Source organism: Homo sapiens, chromosome 12, assembly GCF_000001405.40.
Source record: "Homo sapiens chromosome 12, GRCh38.p14 Primary Assembly".
NCBI classification, from domain to species: Eukaryota; Metazoa; Chordata; class Mammalia; order Primates; family Hominidae; genus Homo; species Homo sapiens.
In genome coordinates, this window is record NC_000012.12 from 9,395,370 (window position 1) to 9,410,723 (window position 15,354).

At 49.6% G+C, this 15,354-nt stretch overlaps 3 long non-coding RNA genes across 3 annotated transcripts in view, besides 1 other annotated feature; 2 read left to right on the top strand and 1 right to left on the bottom strand.

Moving 5' to 3' along the window:
- The window catches only part of LINC02367 (long intergenic non-protein coding RNA 2367), a 30,154-nt gene extending 27,906 nt beyond the window's left edge, over positions 1-2,248 (top strand). The window contains exon 4 of the long non-coding RNA NR_120479.1: positions 350-2,248. This is a non-coding gene — a long non-coding RNA (long intergenic non-protein coding RNA 2367). The remainder of the gene's footprint in view (positions 1-349) is intronic.
- LOC728715 (ovostatin homolog 2) lies at positions 1,688-12,045 on the bottom strand. The gene is made up of 9 exons (NR_144634.1): positions 11,939-12,045; positions 10,939-11,029; positions 7,058-7,184; positions 6,378-6,490; positions 4,867-4,957; positions 4,426-4,494; positions 3,013-3,073; positions 2,246-2,320; positions 1,688-1,845 (listed from the first exon to the last, which is right to left on the bottom strand). It is a non-coding gene; the product is annotated as an ovostatin homolog 2 (long non-coding RNA).
- Positions 7,549-8,190: an enhancer, noted in NCBI's record as "H3K27ac-H3K4me1 hESC enhancer chr12:9555514-9556155 (GRCh37/hg19 assembly coordinates)". NCBI's record gives its function as "activates a minimal SCP1, AML or CMV promoter by ChIP-STARR-seq in naive H9 embryonic stem cells {active_cell/tissue: H9 hESC(naive)}" and the evidence as "EXISTENCE:reporter gene assay evidence [ECO:0000049][PMID:30033119]".
- Positions 12,046-12,972: 927 nt separating the features above from the next.
- LOC105369647 (uncharacterized) lies at positions 12,973-13,383 on the top strand. Its single transcript, XR_001748996.2, has 2 exons — positions 12,973-13,064; positions 13,144-13,383. It is a non-coding gene; the product is annotated as an uncharacterized LOC105369647 (long non-coding RNA).
- The last annotated feature ends 1,971 nt before the right edge of the window (positions 13,384-15,354 follow it).

Below are 15,354 nucleotides of genomic sequence, written 5' to 3' on the forward strand. Positions count from 1 at the left end.
CCAGCTGTCAGTCACTGTGAACCTTTAGAACTGGGGCTGAAGCTTCTTCCAGTTGCTTGCTCAGATGTCAGTGAGACCGCTCCACAACAGATAAGGGGAGCTGTGTGTCAGGGAAGTCCCAGCCACTAGGACAAGCTGCACTCCAGGCAGCTGTTTCTGTTCTTGTGCAAAGAACAGCGCAATCCATTCAAGTTCACAGGGGCGGGTGGCACTTGAAAATGTCAGGGTCAACTTGCAGGGCAGAAGTTAGCAGGGAAGTCTTCCTGGGGGAGTGGGAGAGCCCAGCAGAGTTTAGGAGGAGGGAGGGGCGACATCGGGGCAATCCTCTGAGTCTCTCTTTCCTCCTCAGGAACTGTCCAGGAAGACCCTGCAGTCTCTCTGCAGGCTCATGGGAGCTCCCAGAACTGAGACAACACACGGATCCAGGCCTGCTTCGAAGTCAGTGGGATGCGGCCCTTGAAAGTCGATGTATTGGGTTCCTAGGGCTCTCGTGAAAACATGCCACACCTGGCTGGTTTTAAACAACAGGAGTTTATTCTGTCAGTTGAGAAGGCTACAAGTGCAAAATCAAGGTATTGACGGGATGAGTTCCAACTAGAGGCTGTGAGGCAGATCAACTCCATGGCTCTCTCCTGGCTTCTGCTGGTTTCTGGCAACCGTTCACTTCCCATGCCTGGTAGACACATCACTCTAACCTCTGCCTCCCTTTTTCATGGGCACATTCGCGCCTGTGTGTGTGTGTGTGTGGATGTGTGTGTTAAGGACAGCAATCATTAGACTAGATGGGGCCCACTCTAATCCACTGTGAGCTTCTCTTACTTTGGTAACATCTGCAAAGACCCTATTTCCAAACAAGGTCACATTCCATGTTCTGGGACTGTCTTCTGAGAGATGTCTCCCCCAGGATCCTTCCAGGTGGAAGGATGCCCTTTGACCTGCAAAGCCAGGCAGAAAACCAGGATCAGGGCAGGACAAGAGGATGCTAGCCTGTGATGGCTCCCACTCAGGTGGGATGTGAGAAGTGCCTGTGGCCTGGGACACACCAACTTGCTCCCGTTACCTCATCTGAGATGGACTGCACAGTGTATGTCCAGGGCCCAACCCGGTACACTGTGCCTTTGCAATGCTGTCTCTGTGCTTTGGAAATTCACTCAGCCCACTGCGTGGGGTGGTCTGAGGCGGGCCACAACCATTTCTCAACCATCCCTGAGTACCTGACCAGTATCCCTCGGGGGTGACGACGACCGCCTACATCTGGAGCATGAGGAGCGTGTTTACCTGGTGAGTAAGGATGCAAGCATAGGACGTCCTGGCCGATCCTCTGCACAAGCAATGCCTTTGCTCCAACGGGATGGGCAACGTTGGATTAGGCCTGAGGCAGATTTGATCTCGGAAGATACATTCGAGTCTATGTGTTTTGTGCATTTATTTTTGTTTCCTTGAATTAACATGGAGTCCATTTCAACTTTCACTTAGTCTCCTTTCTCTTCCCCCACTTCTTTCTCTCTCTCTCTTTCTTTGTATGTGGAAGAATTTTAACTCTGTGTTCCATAATGTCTAAATACTCAAATTTAGAGTTGACAGCCATACAGCAAATTATTCAAGTTGCTGTCAAAAAAAAAAAATCCCTGCGTTTTCTAGGATTAAAACTGTGAATAGAGTACTGGAAGAAAAAAAAGTCATAGACTCAGATGCAAAATGACAACATTTAATGGGATGATAAGGAAATAAGACTTGACAAGAAACCATAGCCCACTGCAGACTGTTCACGATGTCAGATGGTTCATGATTTTTTTCCAGGTTTGATACAGAAGAATCAGTTTGTTACAAGAAATGCTTCTCCAACTGGGATTTAAAACATCATTTAAACAATAAACACGTTTGTATGTATATATAAATAGATATTTAGATATAAAAACATGCATATATAGGCACATAGACATGTACATACACACACATATGTACAAATATATATGCCTAAATTTTTACTGACCTGTCAACTTACAAAACAAAAATGAGAGATTTATAAAAGGTACATATATAGCTGTGAATTCTTTAAAGCTATTTTTAAAGAAATTAATATAATCTTAATGATTATCAGATTACTCATGCAGTACACAGCTACACAAGTCTAATGAAGTACCAGACACTTTTCTTTCTTCAACTATTGTCCTATCTTATTCAGGTTTTCATTTTCTTACTAGATGTGTTTTCAATGGTTTATGACGTAATAAAATTTCTTTACCTCTTCTAGTAATTGCTTTGTCTCACTCGGAAACTGAACTACTGTCGATGTTGTAAAAAGCTAGGGCATATTCTTCTGAAAAAATAAAGGGAACATGTATTTTTATTAAATAGATGATATAAGCACATTAGATCTAATCCTTCCAATAATTTTGAAATAGAGACAATTACTTTCCCATTTTATACATCCAGAAATATGCTAATAATATTTAAGACACTTGATGAAATATATTCTATTAGTAAATGATAGAGACAGAATTCAAACACTCCACAAACTTCACACAGCATTCAACAAGAAATAAATAGTACCAACCTTCCAGGGAACAGTTGTATGGTCTCTACAACATCTTTGTATATGTTTTAGAAATTAATCTATCAAATTTTTAAGTTAGTTAGCATTTCAGAATATTCCCCACTCCTCTCTTTAAGTCAAAGTCCACAGAAGTAGCTTGGAACAGTCAGTCTTAGCATGAACAACAATGACAATAACAAAAAGACCTGGAAGCTTAGTGTGGCTTGTATTTCAAGTTCAAGTGGAGCCCTGTCAGGTTATATTGCAAGGATTCTGGTGTTGAAAAACTCTGGTAACTGGAAAATGGGTTCAGTCAGAAGACACATCATGGGATAAAGAAACCAGTATACAAAGTAATGCCATCTATTGTTTACTCTGTGAAGACGGAGGTTGATTTTGGAAATTTAGTAGCTCAGGGAATATTAGATATAAATACCACATTCAATAACCTTAGGGCATGGCTGTTGCTTGCCTACCTTTTTCATAGTAATCGTAGACCATGGCTGGGGCTGGCTGAATGTTGAACACAAGGTTGCTCTGCTCAACAGAAAAAGGGAAACTGTCTGCTCGACCAAAACCCTATCATGACACAAATTATAATTACATTGTAGCAGGTCTGAGAAAAGATAATCACTGAGAAAATTGTCCGCAGAAGTTTATGATCTACATAATTAAATAGATCTAGGGTATGATTAACTTACACATTGGCAAAATAATGAGTTGTTAACCTTAAATCATATAAAATTTCAAGTTCCTTTGCTTACACTGAGGTGAGAGGAATTTAGCTGGAAGTCTTAGAGGAATGTAGGCATTTATGTGAGTGGTAACAATACACATAGAAAGGATGTCCCTAAAGCGCATGCCACAGTTTGGCGTTTCCTCAGTAGAATAAAAATAGAACTACCCTATGATCCAGCAATCCCATTTCTGGGTATGCATCCAAAGAAAATGAGATGAATATTTTGAAGAGACAGCTGCAGTCCCATGCTAATTCTTTCATTAATCACAATAGCCAACATAAGGAGTCAACCTAAGTGTTCGAAACAGATGAATGGATAATGAAACTGAGGCATATCCACATACAAATTATTCGGCCTTAAAAAAAAAGAATTTCTGCCATTTGTAACAACACTGAAGAACTTGGAGGACATTATGTGGAATGAAACAAACCAGATACACACAAAAAACACTGCAGGATCTCACCTGTAAGTTAAATCTAAAGTTGAGTTCATAGATGCAGAGAGTAGAATGGCAGTTATCAGGGATGGGAAAATGGGGAGATGCTGGTCAAAGGATAGAAAGCTTCAGCTGTGCAGGATGAATACATTCTACAAATCTCGGGTACAGCGGTGGCCTACAGTTAACAATGCTGTACTGTATATGTAATATTCCCTAAGGGAGTAGATCTTAAGTGCTTTGTCACAAAAAAAGAAGAGGTAACTGTGTGAAGAGAGGGATGTGTTAGTCAGCTAATTCACATATAGTCACGCTAGATGATAACAATCAGCTCACTATATATATCAAAACGTCACACCACATACCTTCAGTACGCAATTGTAATTTCAAAAAATTATGGCAAACATTGTAAGAGTTTAGTCAAATTATAAAATAATTACATATCTACTCTGTGACCAGACTGTGTTTGATAGGGAGATGATGTTTCTAAAATGGAAAGCTATCTAGTCACATAGCCAGGGCATATATGAAATAGCCTTGGAACTAGCAAGGAGAAGATGATCAGTGGGATAAAACACTGGTAATCCTTAACGTCCCTTATTTTTTCCTTTTACAGATCCTATCATACATATCTATAAGAAATTGAAGCATCCAATTATCCTTGGAAGGAAAAAAGAAAAACTTTAAAGAAAAAAAAATATGGCTAAACTTACATTTTCCAAGTAGAAAAGAACATGGTCATTCTTGACTTCAGTCTTCATCACTTGGCCCTTGTTTTCAAGCTTTGAAGAAATTGTTAGGGAAGGATAGAGAATAGATTTTAGAACAAATGACAGCGCCACTGCAGAACTCAATGTCCACTCTTTTCTACGTCACGTTCTGTTTTATGGAACATTCCTTGGTGCCGTGATGTTTTCATAAACACAGGTAGCAACTAAAGAAAAATATATGATGAACCATGGGAAATACTGACTGCTAATTGGTACAAATTAAGTAAACCAGCTCTCCAGTGTTAGCGCAAAAATACAAAGGTGAATGTTGAAGAAGAACTCTATAGTTTTGTTTTGCTAAACTATGGCTGAACAAGTATTTATTTTATCTTTATACTCTATGTAGCTGTCTTTGTGCTGAAAGATTAGGCTTCTATTATTTACCTCTTCAATGGATGACATGGTTGGAGTAAATCCTGATAGCATTTTTACATCTATAACCACCATACTGGATTTATTGCGAATTCCAGTGTATCTGAAAATTTTAAGAAAACACTCGTTTAGATATCAATTTTAAAAAGTGACTTATCTCATAATGAGAGTGCCAGGTGGATAAATACTAATTGGCTAGAAATCTGGAGGACAGGTAAAAGCTGAAGAGAAAACATCGGAAGAAAGTCATTTTCAAGCATCTGTGAATAGGCACGACCAGAATGATAATGAAAGAGATGATACATAGCAACAGAAATTGGAGCAAATAATGAATTATCTGGACATGAAATCTTCCCCAAACCCTGCTTTTAAGCTTACCTGCAGTCTCAAAGTTTGAACTGATAAACAGAGCTTCTAAATCTTTTACATATACTTAGGTTAGTGTTAGAGTTGCATAACACTTAGAGGACATCTTTGCTTAAAAGGTGGTATATGAGCATAATTAGAGAGTAGATGTGTCCCCAGGAGAACTTCTAGCTCAGTTTCCTGCTTCTGGATAAGACTATGGGGGTGTGAAGTTGAGAGTTCCATAGTTCATCAGGGCATGGTTGCTCACACCTGTAATCCCAGCACTTCTGGAGGCCAAGGTGGGTGGATCACTTGAGGGTCAGAGTTCAAGACCAGCCTGGCCAATATGGCAAAACTCTGACTCTACTAAAAATAGAAAAATTAGCCAGGTGTGGTGGTGCACGCCTCTAATCCCAGCTACTCAGGAGGCTGAGCCATAAGAATCCCTTGAACCCAGGAGGTGGAAGTTGCAGTGAGCTGAGATTGTGCCACTGTGCCACTGTACTGCAGCCTGGGTGACAAAGTAAGACTCTGTCTCAAAAACAAACCCAAAAAAGAAAAAGAGTTCCCCAATTCACTGAGTTCTTAGCCCTGGAGCTCAAGCGATTTTTATTTAGAAATTCTAAAAAATATCTCCCAAACTAATTTTACTCAATGTTTTCCACATATTAACTAAGGCTAAAAGCCTTTAGCATCTATAAATCATGCTTGAATTCAAGAGGATCATTTTGTTTTTCTATTCTGAAAAGTAAAAATCTAAAATGTTACTCTTTACAGTTACAAAAGAAACATTTGTGGGCTTGCTACTATATGACCATGCATGCTTGTCTTGAGAAAGAAATATAGAATCTCTGTTTTTCAAAACTAGGAGTACTTCCATACAACAGAATAAAAAGTATCATTGAAACATCAGTGCAGTGAAAGCTTTCAAATCCTGCTCACATAGACTGCATGTTTTCTTGCCTCATTTTAGCTCTGATTTAGCTGAAGATGTACTAAATTGTGGTGTCCGGACAGAGGGCTAAAAAGTGACTGTGCTGTAGAATTGTCACCACCAACATGAGAACTCATCATATTACCATGATTTATATTTTGTTATTTCACTACTGTTTGAACTTTTAAAATATTTTACCATCTTGTTCACATGGGAGTTACTGTCAAAATATGACACTTACTTGAGGGTCACTGTGAGGTCAAAAGCAGTCGAAGAGTAGTTCTTTACTATTTCCAAGGAAAGAGAAAATCCAGATGCCTTCTTAGGTAGGAGAACATTGTACTTAAGGGTGGCCTAGAAAGGATAGCAAATTATAAGAAAACCCATCCTGTATTAAGAATTATACAGTCTGACTAGAGTCAGTAGTAATGTGATTTTACATTTTAAAATAACCAAGAGTATACTTCGATCATTGGTAACACAATGGATAAATGCTTGAGGTGAGCATACCCCACTTGCCCTGATGTGATTCTTACACGTTGCATGCCTGTATCATGCACCCGGTAAATATTTACACCTACTATGTACCCACAAAAATTAAAACATTTTTAAAAAGAAAGAGCCTATTGTTTATTTCTATTACTAACGCAGTTTACATCTTTATCATCAGGGAATCAGGTTAAATTCTTTAGTTTTCAGAATAATGTAATTTAATGAAGATAGAATACTTTCTAATAGCAATATTCCTCAAGAAACTTCTCTTAGACAGCTGAGTAGCTTTTCAAAAAGTAACTTGCAATTTTGGCTATTGATTATGTAAATACACAAAACGGTCAAATAACACTTCACGTAGAACTGAACAGACAGTCTGACTCTTTTACTGGCAAACACTCATCACCCTCTTAGGCAGATTTCTGTTACCTGGATAAATGTACAACCGTGTCCTTCCACATCTACTGTGTATTGTCCAGGTGCCTGTGTTACTTCTGAACGTTGGACCAGTAGGCGATTATGACCGTTAACCTGGAAAATCTCACTGGATCCTTCACTGCTAAAGGTGACAGTGTTTTGATCCTTAGAGAAAAGCCCCTCTTCCCCCCCTGGCTCTTAGGATCCCCATCGCAGGGCGGGGAGGCACCCACCGCGAGGCGGAGACTGAGAGCCAGTCCCTCCCACCCCCGGCTCTTAGGACCCCCATAGCAGGGTGGGGAGGCACCTCCCGCGAGGCGGGGACTGAGAGCCAGCCCCTGTTGCCCCCCTGGCTCTTAGGACCCCCATCGCAAGGGAGGGAGGCACCCCAAGCGAGGCGGGGACTGAGAGTCTGTCCCTCTTTCCCCCGTGGCTCTTGGGACAACCATCGCAGGGGTGGGAGGCACGCCGCGGGAGACGGGGACTGACAGCCAGCCCCTCTTCCTCCCTGGTTCTTAGGACCCCCATCGCAGGGGCGGAGGCACCCGCAGCGAGGCGGGGACTGAGAGAGAGCTCCTCTTCCCCCTCAGGATGTTAGGACCCCCATCGCGGGGGGGGGAGGCACTCCCGCCAGGCGGGAACTGAGAGCCAGCCCCTCTTCACCCCCTGGCTCTTAGGACAGCCATCGCAGTGGGGGGAGGCACCCCCAGCGAGGCAGGGACTGACAGCCAGCAACTCTTCCGCCCCGGGCTCTTGGGACCCCCATCGCAGGTGGGGGAGGCACACCTCGCGAGGCGGGGACTGAGAGCCAGCCCCACTTCCACCCCTGGCTTTTAGGACCCCCGTCACAGGTGGGGGAGGCACCCCCAGCGAGGCGGGGACTGAGAGCCTGCCCCTCTTCCCCCCTCCAGGCTCTTCGGACCGCCGTCGCAGTGTGGGGAGGCACCCCCTGTGAGGCGGGGACTGAGAGCCAGCCGCTCTTTCCCCCTGGCTCTTAAGACCCCCATTGCAGGGGGGAACACACCCCCCGCGAGGCGGGGACTGAGAGCCAGCCCCTCTTGCCCCCCAGGCTCTTGGGACCCCCATCGCAGGGGGGAGGAGGCACCCCCCGCGAGGTGGGGACTGAGAGCCAGCCCCTCTCCCCCACGCGGCTCTTCGGACCCCCATCGCAAGGGGGGGAGGCATCGCAAGGGGGGGAGGCATCGCAAGGGGGGGAGGCATCGCAAGGGGGGGAGGCATCGCAAGGGGGGGAGGCATCGCAAGGGGGGGAGGCATCGCAAGGGGGGGAGGCATCGCAAGGGGGGGAGGCATCGCAAGGGGGGGAGGCATCGCAAGGGGGGGAGGCATCGCAAGGGGGGGAGGCATCGCAAGGGGGGGAGGCATCGCAAGGGGGGGAGGCATCGCAAGGGGGGGAGGCATCGCAAGGGGGGGAGGCATCGCAAGGGGGGGAGGCATCGCAAGGGGGGGAGGCATCGCAAGGGGGGGAGGCATCGCAAGGGGGGGAGGCATCGCAAGGGGGGGAGGCACCCCATGCGAGGCGGGGACTGAGAACCAGCCCCTCTACCCCCCGTGGCTCTTAGGAGCCCGATCGCGGGTGAGGGAAGCACCCCCCGCGAGGCGGGGACTGAGAGCAAGCCCCTTTTCCCCCCCTGGCTCTTAGAACAACCAACGCAGAGGGGGGAGGCACCCGCTGTGAGGCATGAACTGAGAGCCAGACCCACTTCCCCCCAGCTCTTGGGATCCCCATCACAGGGGGGAGGCACCCCACATGAGGCGGGGACTGAGAGACAGCCCCTCTGCCCCTCCTGGCTATTAGGACCCCCGTCGCACAGGGGGGAGGGACCCCCCATCGCACGGGGGAGAGGGACCCCCCGCGAGGCAGGGACGGAGAGCCTGCCGCTCTTCCCCCCGTGGCTCATAGGACCCCCATCGCAGGCGCTTGGCACCCCACGCGAGGCGGGTACTGAGAGCCAGCTCCTCTTCACCCCGGGTCTCTTAGGACTGCCATCGCAGGGGGGTAGAGGTACCCCATGCAAGGCGGGGACTGAGAGTCAGCCCCTCTTCACCTCTCGCTCTTAGGCCCCCATCGCGGGGGGGGAGGCACCCCATGCGAGGCGGGGATTGAGAGCCAGCCCCACTTCCCCCCTGACTCTTGGGACCACCATCGCAGTGGGGGCAGGTACACACCGCGAGGCGGGGGGGGGGGGCAGGTACACACCGCGAGGCGGGGACAGAGTGTCAGCCCCTCTTCCCCCACTGGCTTTTGGGACCCCCATCGCGATGGGGGGAGGCACCCCCAGCGAGGCGGGGACTGACAGCCAGCAACTCTTCTGCCCCGGGCTCTTGGGACCCCCATCGCAGGGGCGGGAGGCACCCCCCGCGAGCCAGGTTCTGAGAGCCAGCCCCTCTTCCCCTCTGGCTCTTAGAACCCCCATCGCAGTGGAGGGATGCACCCCCCGCGAGGCAGAGACTGAGAGAAAGCCCCTCTTTCCCCCTGGCTCTTGGGACCCCCATCGCAGGCGGGGGAGGCACCCCCCGCGAGGCGGGGACTGAGAGGCAGCCCCTCTTCCCCACCTGGCTCTTAGGTCCCCCATCGCGGGGGGGAAGCACCCCCCACGGGGCGGGGACTGAGAGCCAGCGCCTTTCCCCCCGGGGCTATTAGGACCCCCATCGCAGGAGGGTGAGACACACCCCAGGAGGCTGGGACTGAGAGCCAGCCCCTCTCCCCCCGCTGGCTATTAAGACACCCAACGCAGGGGGTGAGGCACCCCCTACAAGGCTGGGACTGAGAGCCAGCCCCTCTTTCAACCTGGCTCTTGGCAAGGCGGGGAGGCATCCCCCCATGGCAAGGCGGGGAGGCATCCCCCCATGGCAAGGCGGGGAGGCATCCCCCCATGGCAAGGCGGGGAGGCATCCCCCCATGGCAAGGCGGGGAGGCATCCCCCCATGGCAAGGCGGGGAGGCATCCCCCCATGGCAAGGCGGGGAGGCATCCCCCCATGGCAAGGCGGGGAGGCATCCCCCCATGGCAAGGCGGGGAGGCATCCCCCCATGGCAAGGCGGGGAGGCATCCCCCCATGGCAAGGCGGGGAGGCATCCCCCCATGGCAAGGCGGGGAGGCATCCCCCCATGGCAAGGCGGGGAGGCATCCCCCCATGGCAAGGCGGGGAGGCATCCCCCCATGGCAAGGCGGGGAGGCATCCCCCCATGGCAAGGCGGGGAGGCATCCCCCCATGGCAAGGCGGGGAGGCATCCCCCCATGGCAAGGCGGGGAGGCATCCCCCCATGGCAAGGCGGGGAGGCATCCCCCCATGGCAAGGCGGGGAGGCATCCCCCCATGGCAAGGCGGGGAGGCATCCCCCCATGGCAAGGCGGGGAGGCATCCCCCATGGCAAGGGGGGGAGGCATCCCCCACGAGTCGGGGACTGCGAGCCAGCCCCTCTTCCCCCCCAGGCTCTTGGGACCCCCATCGCAGGGGGGGAGGCACCCCCCGCGAGGCGGGGACTGAGAGACAGCCCCTCTTCCCCCTCCGGCTCTTAGGTCCCCTAACGCGGGGGGGAGGGAAGCACCCCCCACGGGGCGGGGACTGAGAGCCAGCGCCTTTCCCCCCCGGGCTATTAGGACCCCCCATCGCAGGAGGGGGAGACACACCCCAGGAGGCCGGGACTGAGAGCCAGCCCCTCTCCCCTCGCTGGCTATTAAGACACCCATCGCAGGGGGTGAGGCACCCCCTACGAGGCTGGGACTGAGAGCCAGCCCCTCTTTCAACCTGGCTCTTAGGACCCCCATGGCAGGAGGGGAGGCATCCCCCACGAGGCGGGGACTGAGAGCCAGCCCCTCTTCCCCCTCTGGCTTAGGACCCCCACCGCGGATTCTAAGATCCTTAGCACCCACCTGGAGGACTGTGGGTTTTAGGTGTCCAAGAAGAAAGCTCAGATCTTCCAGCAGAAGGTACCTTACTTGGGATTTACTATCCGACAGGGGTCTGAACGCAGCTCGGGATCAGAAAAAAAGCAGGTCATTTGCAATGTACCGGAGCCAGCCCCTCTTCCCCCCTGGCTCTTAGGAGCCCCATTGCTGGTGAGGGAGGCACCCCCCGCGAGGCAGGGACTGAGAGCCAGCCTCTCTTCCTCCCCTGGCTCTTAGGACCCCCATTGCGGGGGGGGGAGGCACCCCACACGAGGCGGGGACTGAGAGCCAGCCCCTCTGCGCCCCCTGGCTATTAGGACCCCCATCACAGCGGGGAGAGGCACCCCCCGCGAGGCAGGGACGGAGAGCCTGCCCCTCTTCCCCCCGTGGCTCTTAGGACCCCCATCGCAGGCGCTTGGCACCCCACGCGAGGCAGGTACTGAGAGCCAGCTCCTCTTCCCCCCCGTGTCTTAGGACAGCCATCGCAGCGGGGGAGGTACCCCCCGTGAGGCAGGGACTGAGAGCCAGCCCCTCTTCACCTCTCGCTCTTCGGCCCCCATCGCAGGGAGGAGGAGGCACCCCATGCGAGGCGGGGACTGAGAGCCAGCCCCACTTCCCCCCTGGCTCTTGGGACCACCATCGCAGTGGGGGGAGGTACACACCACGAGGCGGGGACGGAGAGTCAGCCCCTCTTCCCCCACTGGCTTTTGGGACACCCATCCCGGGGGGGAGGCCCCCCCCCCGCGAGGCGGGGACTGAGAGCCAGCCCGTCTTCGCCCCCTGACTCTTAGGACCCCCATCGCAGTGGGGGGATGCACCCCCCGCGAGGCAGAGACTGAGAGAAAGCCCCTCTTTCCCCCCTGGCTCTTAGGACCCCCATCGCAGGCGGGGGAGGCACCCCCCGTGAGGCACGGACTGAGAGCCAGCCCCTCTTCCCCCACTGGCTAAGACCCCCATTGCGGATCCTAAGATCCTTAGGACCCACCTGGAGGACTGTGGGTATTAGGTGTCCAAGAAGAAAGCTCAGATCTGCCGACGGCAGGTACCTTACTTGGGATTTTCTATACGACAGGGGTCCGAACGCAGCCCGGGATCAGAAAGAAAGCAGGTCGTTTGCAATCTACCGGAGCCTAAGGGCAGAAGGCAGGTTAGAGAATTCTTAGGAGCTGTGGGGTTTTGTAGACTGTGGATTCCAAACTTTGCAGTATTAGCCAAGCCTTTGTATGAGGTCACAAAGGGGGTGGGGACCGGAAAGCTTTCCAATGGGGATCCCAACAACAGGAAGGCTTTCATGAGTTAAAGGAAAAACTTCTGGCAGCCCCAGCCCTGGGGCTACCCGATGTGACAAAGCCTTTTCCATTGTATGCTTCACAGAGAGAAAAGATGGCAGCTGGACTTTTAACCCAAACTGTGGGGACCTGGCTGAGGCCAGTGGCCTACGTCTCTAAACAACTAGACAGGGTTTCTAAAAGATGGCCCCCCTGTTGGAGGGCCTTGGCAGCAACTACCCTGCTAGTACTAGAAGCAAATAAGCTGACTCTTGGGCAAAACCTGAACATAAAGGCCCCCCATGCTGTGGTGACTGAGAGCCAGCCCCTCTTCCCCCCCTGGCTCTTAGGATCCACGGTGGACTCACAGCCTGTTTACCATATTGTGAGTAATATCATCTCCCCCTCTGGAGACCTCCGGAGATTATGAACTGTTTCACAGACGGGTGTACACCCTCAGTGTACAGAGGGCGTACACCCATCTGTATTGGGAGTAATATCATCCTCTTCCTCCCTGAATATTAAGAACAGTATCACAGGGGTGTTTCTACTCCCTGCGATATCGCGTGTCATATCCTCCTCTCCCACCTTGCAATTAGAAACAATATCAGTGGGGGCGTGTCCACCTTCTGTCATATTGAAAGTAATATCATTTTCTTCCCTCCAGGACCGTGGGAACAATATGCCAGGGGGATTTCCACTTTCTGCCATATATGTAGTCACATCACCCACTCTGCTTTGGAATATTATTAAGGACCATCTAACACGAGGGTGTATACGTCCTGCAATACTACGAGTAATATCAACTTCTTGGCCTCTGAATATGAGGAAGAATATCACAGGGTGGGTGTACACCTCGTGCTCTATTATGCGGAGTCATATCTGTCTATTATGGGGAGTAATATCATTCTCTCCCTTTCAGGATATTAATAACAATTTCACAGGCTGGGTGAACACAGCCGGCAATGCTGAAATTATTATCATCCTCTCCCCATCTTCCCCTCCTGGCTCTTAGGACCCCCATCGCAGGGGGCTGAGGCACCCCCCGCGAGGCGGGGACTGAGTGCCAGCCCCTCTTCCCTAGCCCCTTCGTCAGGGCTGAGAGAATTTTGAGCGCTAGCCGTCTCTCGATCGCTGGCTAATAAAGAACTCCTGAATTAGTCTCAAAGTGTGGCGTTCCTCTATTACCCGCTTGGTTACAACAGCTTTATATTAATAATTGTAGTAATAAAGTTGATCGCACATAGGATGGAGGAGGCACCTGCCTGGTGAGATGAGACAATGGTCGGATTCACTGAGGCTCCTGCGTGTCCCGGATTTCCCGCTGGGGGAGGGTGTTCTGCTCAGCGGTTCCCACACCTGCTTCCATGGGAGAAGCAAGAAGTCAGAAGGGTGGGCGAAGGAGTCAGAAGCTTCTATTATTGGTTCGGGGAGATGCTGTGTTGGGGGCATCAATTATATGGGGAACCAACCAGTTGCCAACTCCTGACCCTTGGAGTTGACCCCACACCGCTTAAACCTCTGCGCTGGTTCCCGGGGGCCCACAGTGAGGTCTGTAACTCGGGGAGAGGCGCTGGAGCGGGGTGTGGGAGAATGGTGTGCAGGACGGGCTCCATGCACTTTGAAATTATAAACTGCCTTATGAGACAGGGGTACGGTGTGTGTGCATTTTCCTGGGAGAGTCCATAGTTTTTACCACATTGTGTAAAGCTATGCTGTGCAGTAGAAATATTACGCCATACACAATACATATGTACAGTTTTAGTTGTCAAAGAAACTGAAAGAAGATCTTGATGAACACGGATGGCATAGATGTGAGGAAAGCACCATTATTAAAGAATATTTATGCATTTATGTAATGCATTAAAAGGTAACAAAATGGATAAGCAGGTAACACAATAGCAAAGACCGAGAGTGAACTGCAGTCATCCACTGGGGAACTGAGGAGTCAGGGTTTCTCATTACAAAACTCTCTGATGGAAGACTATTACTTATCAACTATTTATTGTCTTTCCACTAAACAAGAAGTGATCGTCATCTTTTCAGATGAGCACCACAGACTTTGCAAAAGATAATTGCCAATTACCCTTTGTACCTGGATTTTCTCATTCCTAAAAATAGTACTACATGACTCCAAAGTTTGTTGTGAAGTTAATTGGGGTGGTGTATCCTAAAGTAACAAAAATGTTGACCATACAGGAGGGGGTGGTTAGTGTTAAGACTCTCTGTTTTTCTGTCTATACATATATATATATATATATATATATATATATATATATATATATATATATATATATAGATAGATAGTTAGTTTAGGTTTACATAAAGACAAAGTATCATGAAAAGGGGTCTTACAATTGGTAGTACTAAAAAAATGTTTAAACTCCAAGATCTTCAATTTTAATGTATAAAAATAATAAAACATACTGATAAATAACAAAAGTTCTATAGTCAGACAACATAGGTCCAAGTTTGGGCTTGATCTCAACTAGGGTTTCAATGCTGAAAAAAATGTCATGTGGTCTTTCCAACTTCATTTCCTTTCCTAACATTGGAGATAATAAATTCACTGTTATTAAGTGTTAAATGAGATTATTCTTAAGAAGGTGTTAGAATGGTTCTAACATACATAGGTGTTATGAGCTAATATTTGTAGTACCATTGTAGCATAAGGAAATACCATCTGCTGAGAGAGGCACAATAATGATTATCTTCATGATAATAGTTTAAGAGCTACCAGATACAGAATGAAGGGGCCATAAAATGATAATGTTATGAATGATTTTGATGCTTACGCCAGAATCCATTCTAGGATAGCTCCTGCCTGAAAAGAACTGGGATTCATTTCTTTGGAATCATGGGACACTGAGTGTGGCAAAAAGAAAACAAAAGAAAAATATGGAAATCACATATGTGATTTTAACATAGAAAGAAACAGGAGAGGCTGAGCATGGTGGCTCATGCCTGTAATCCCAGCACCTTGGGAGGCCAAGGCAGGCGGATCACCTGAGGTCAGGAGTTTGAGACCAGCCTGGCCAACATGGTGAAACCCCGTCTCTACTAAAAGTACAAAAATTAGCCGGGCGTGGTGGCAGGTGCCTGTAATCCCAGCTACACAGGAGGCTGAGGCAGG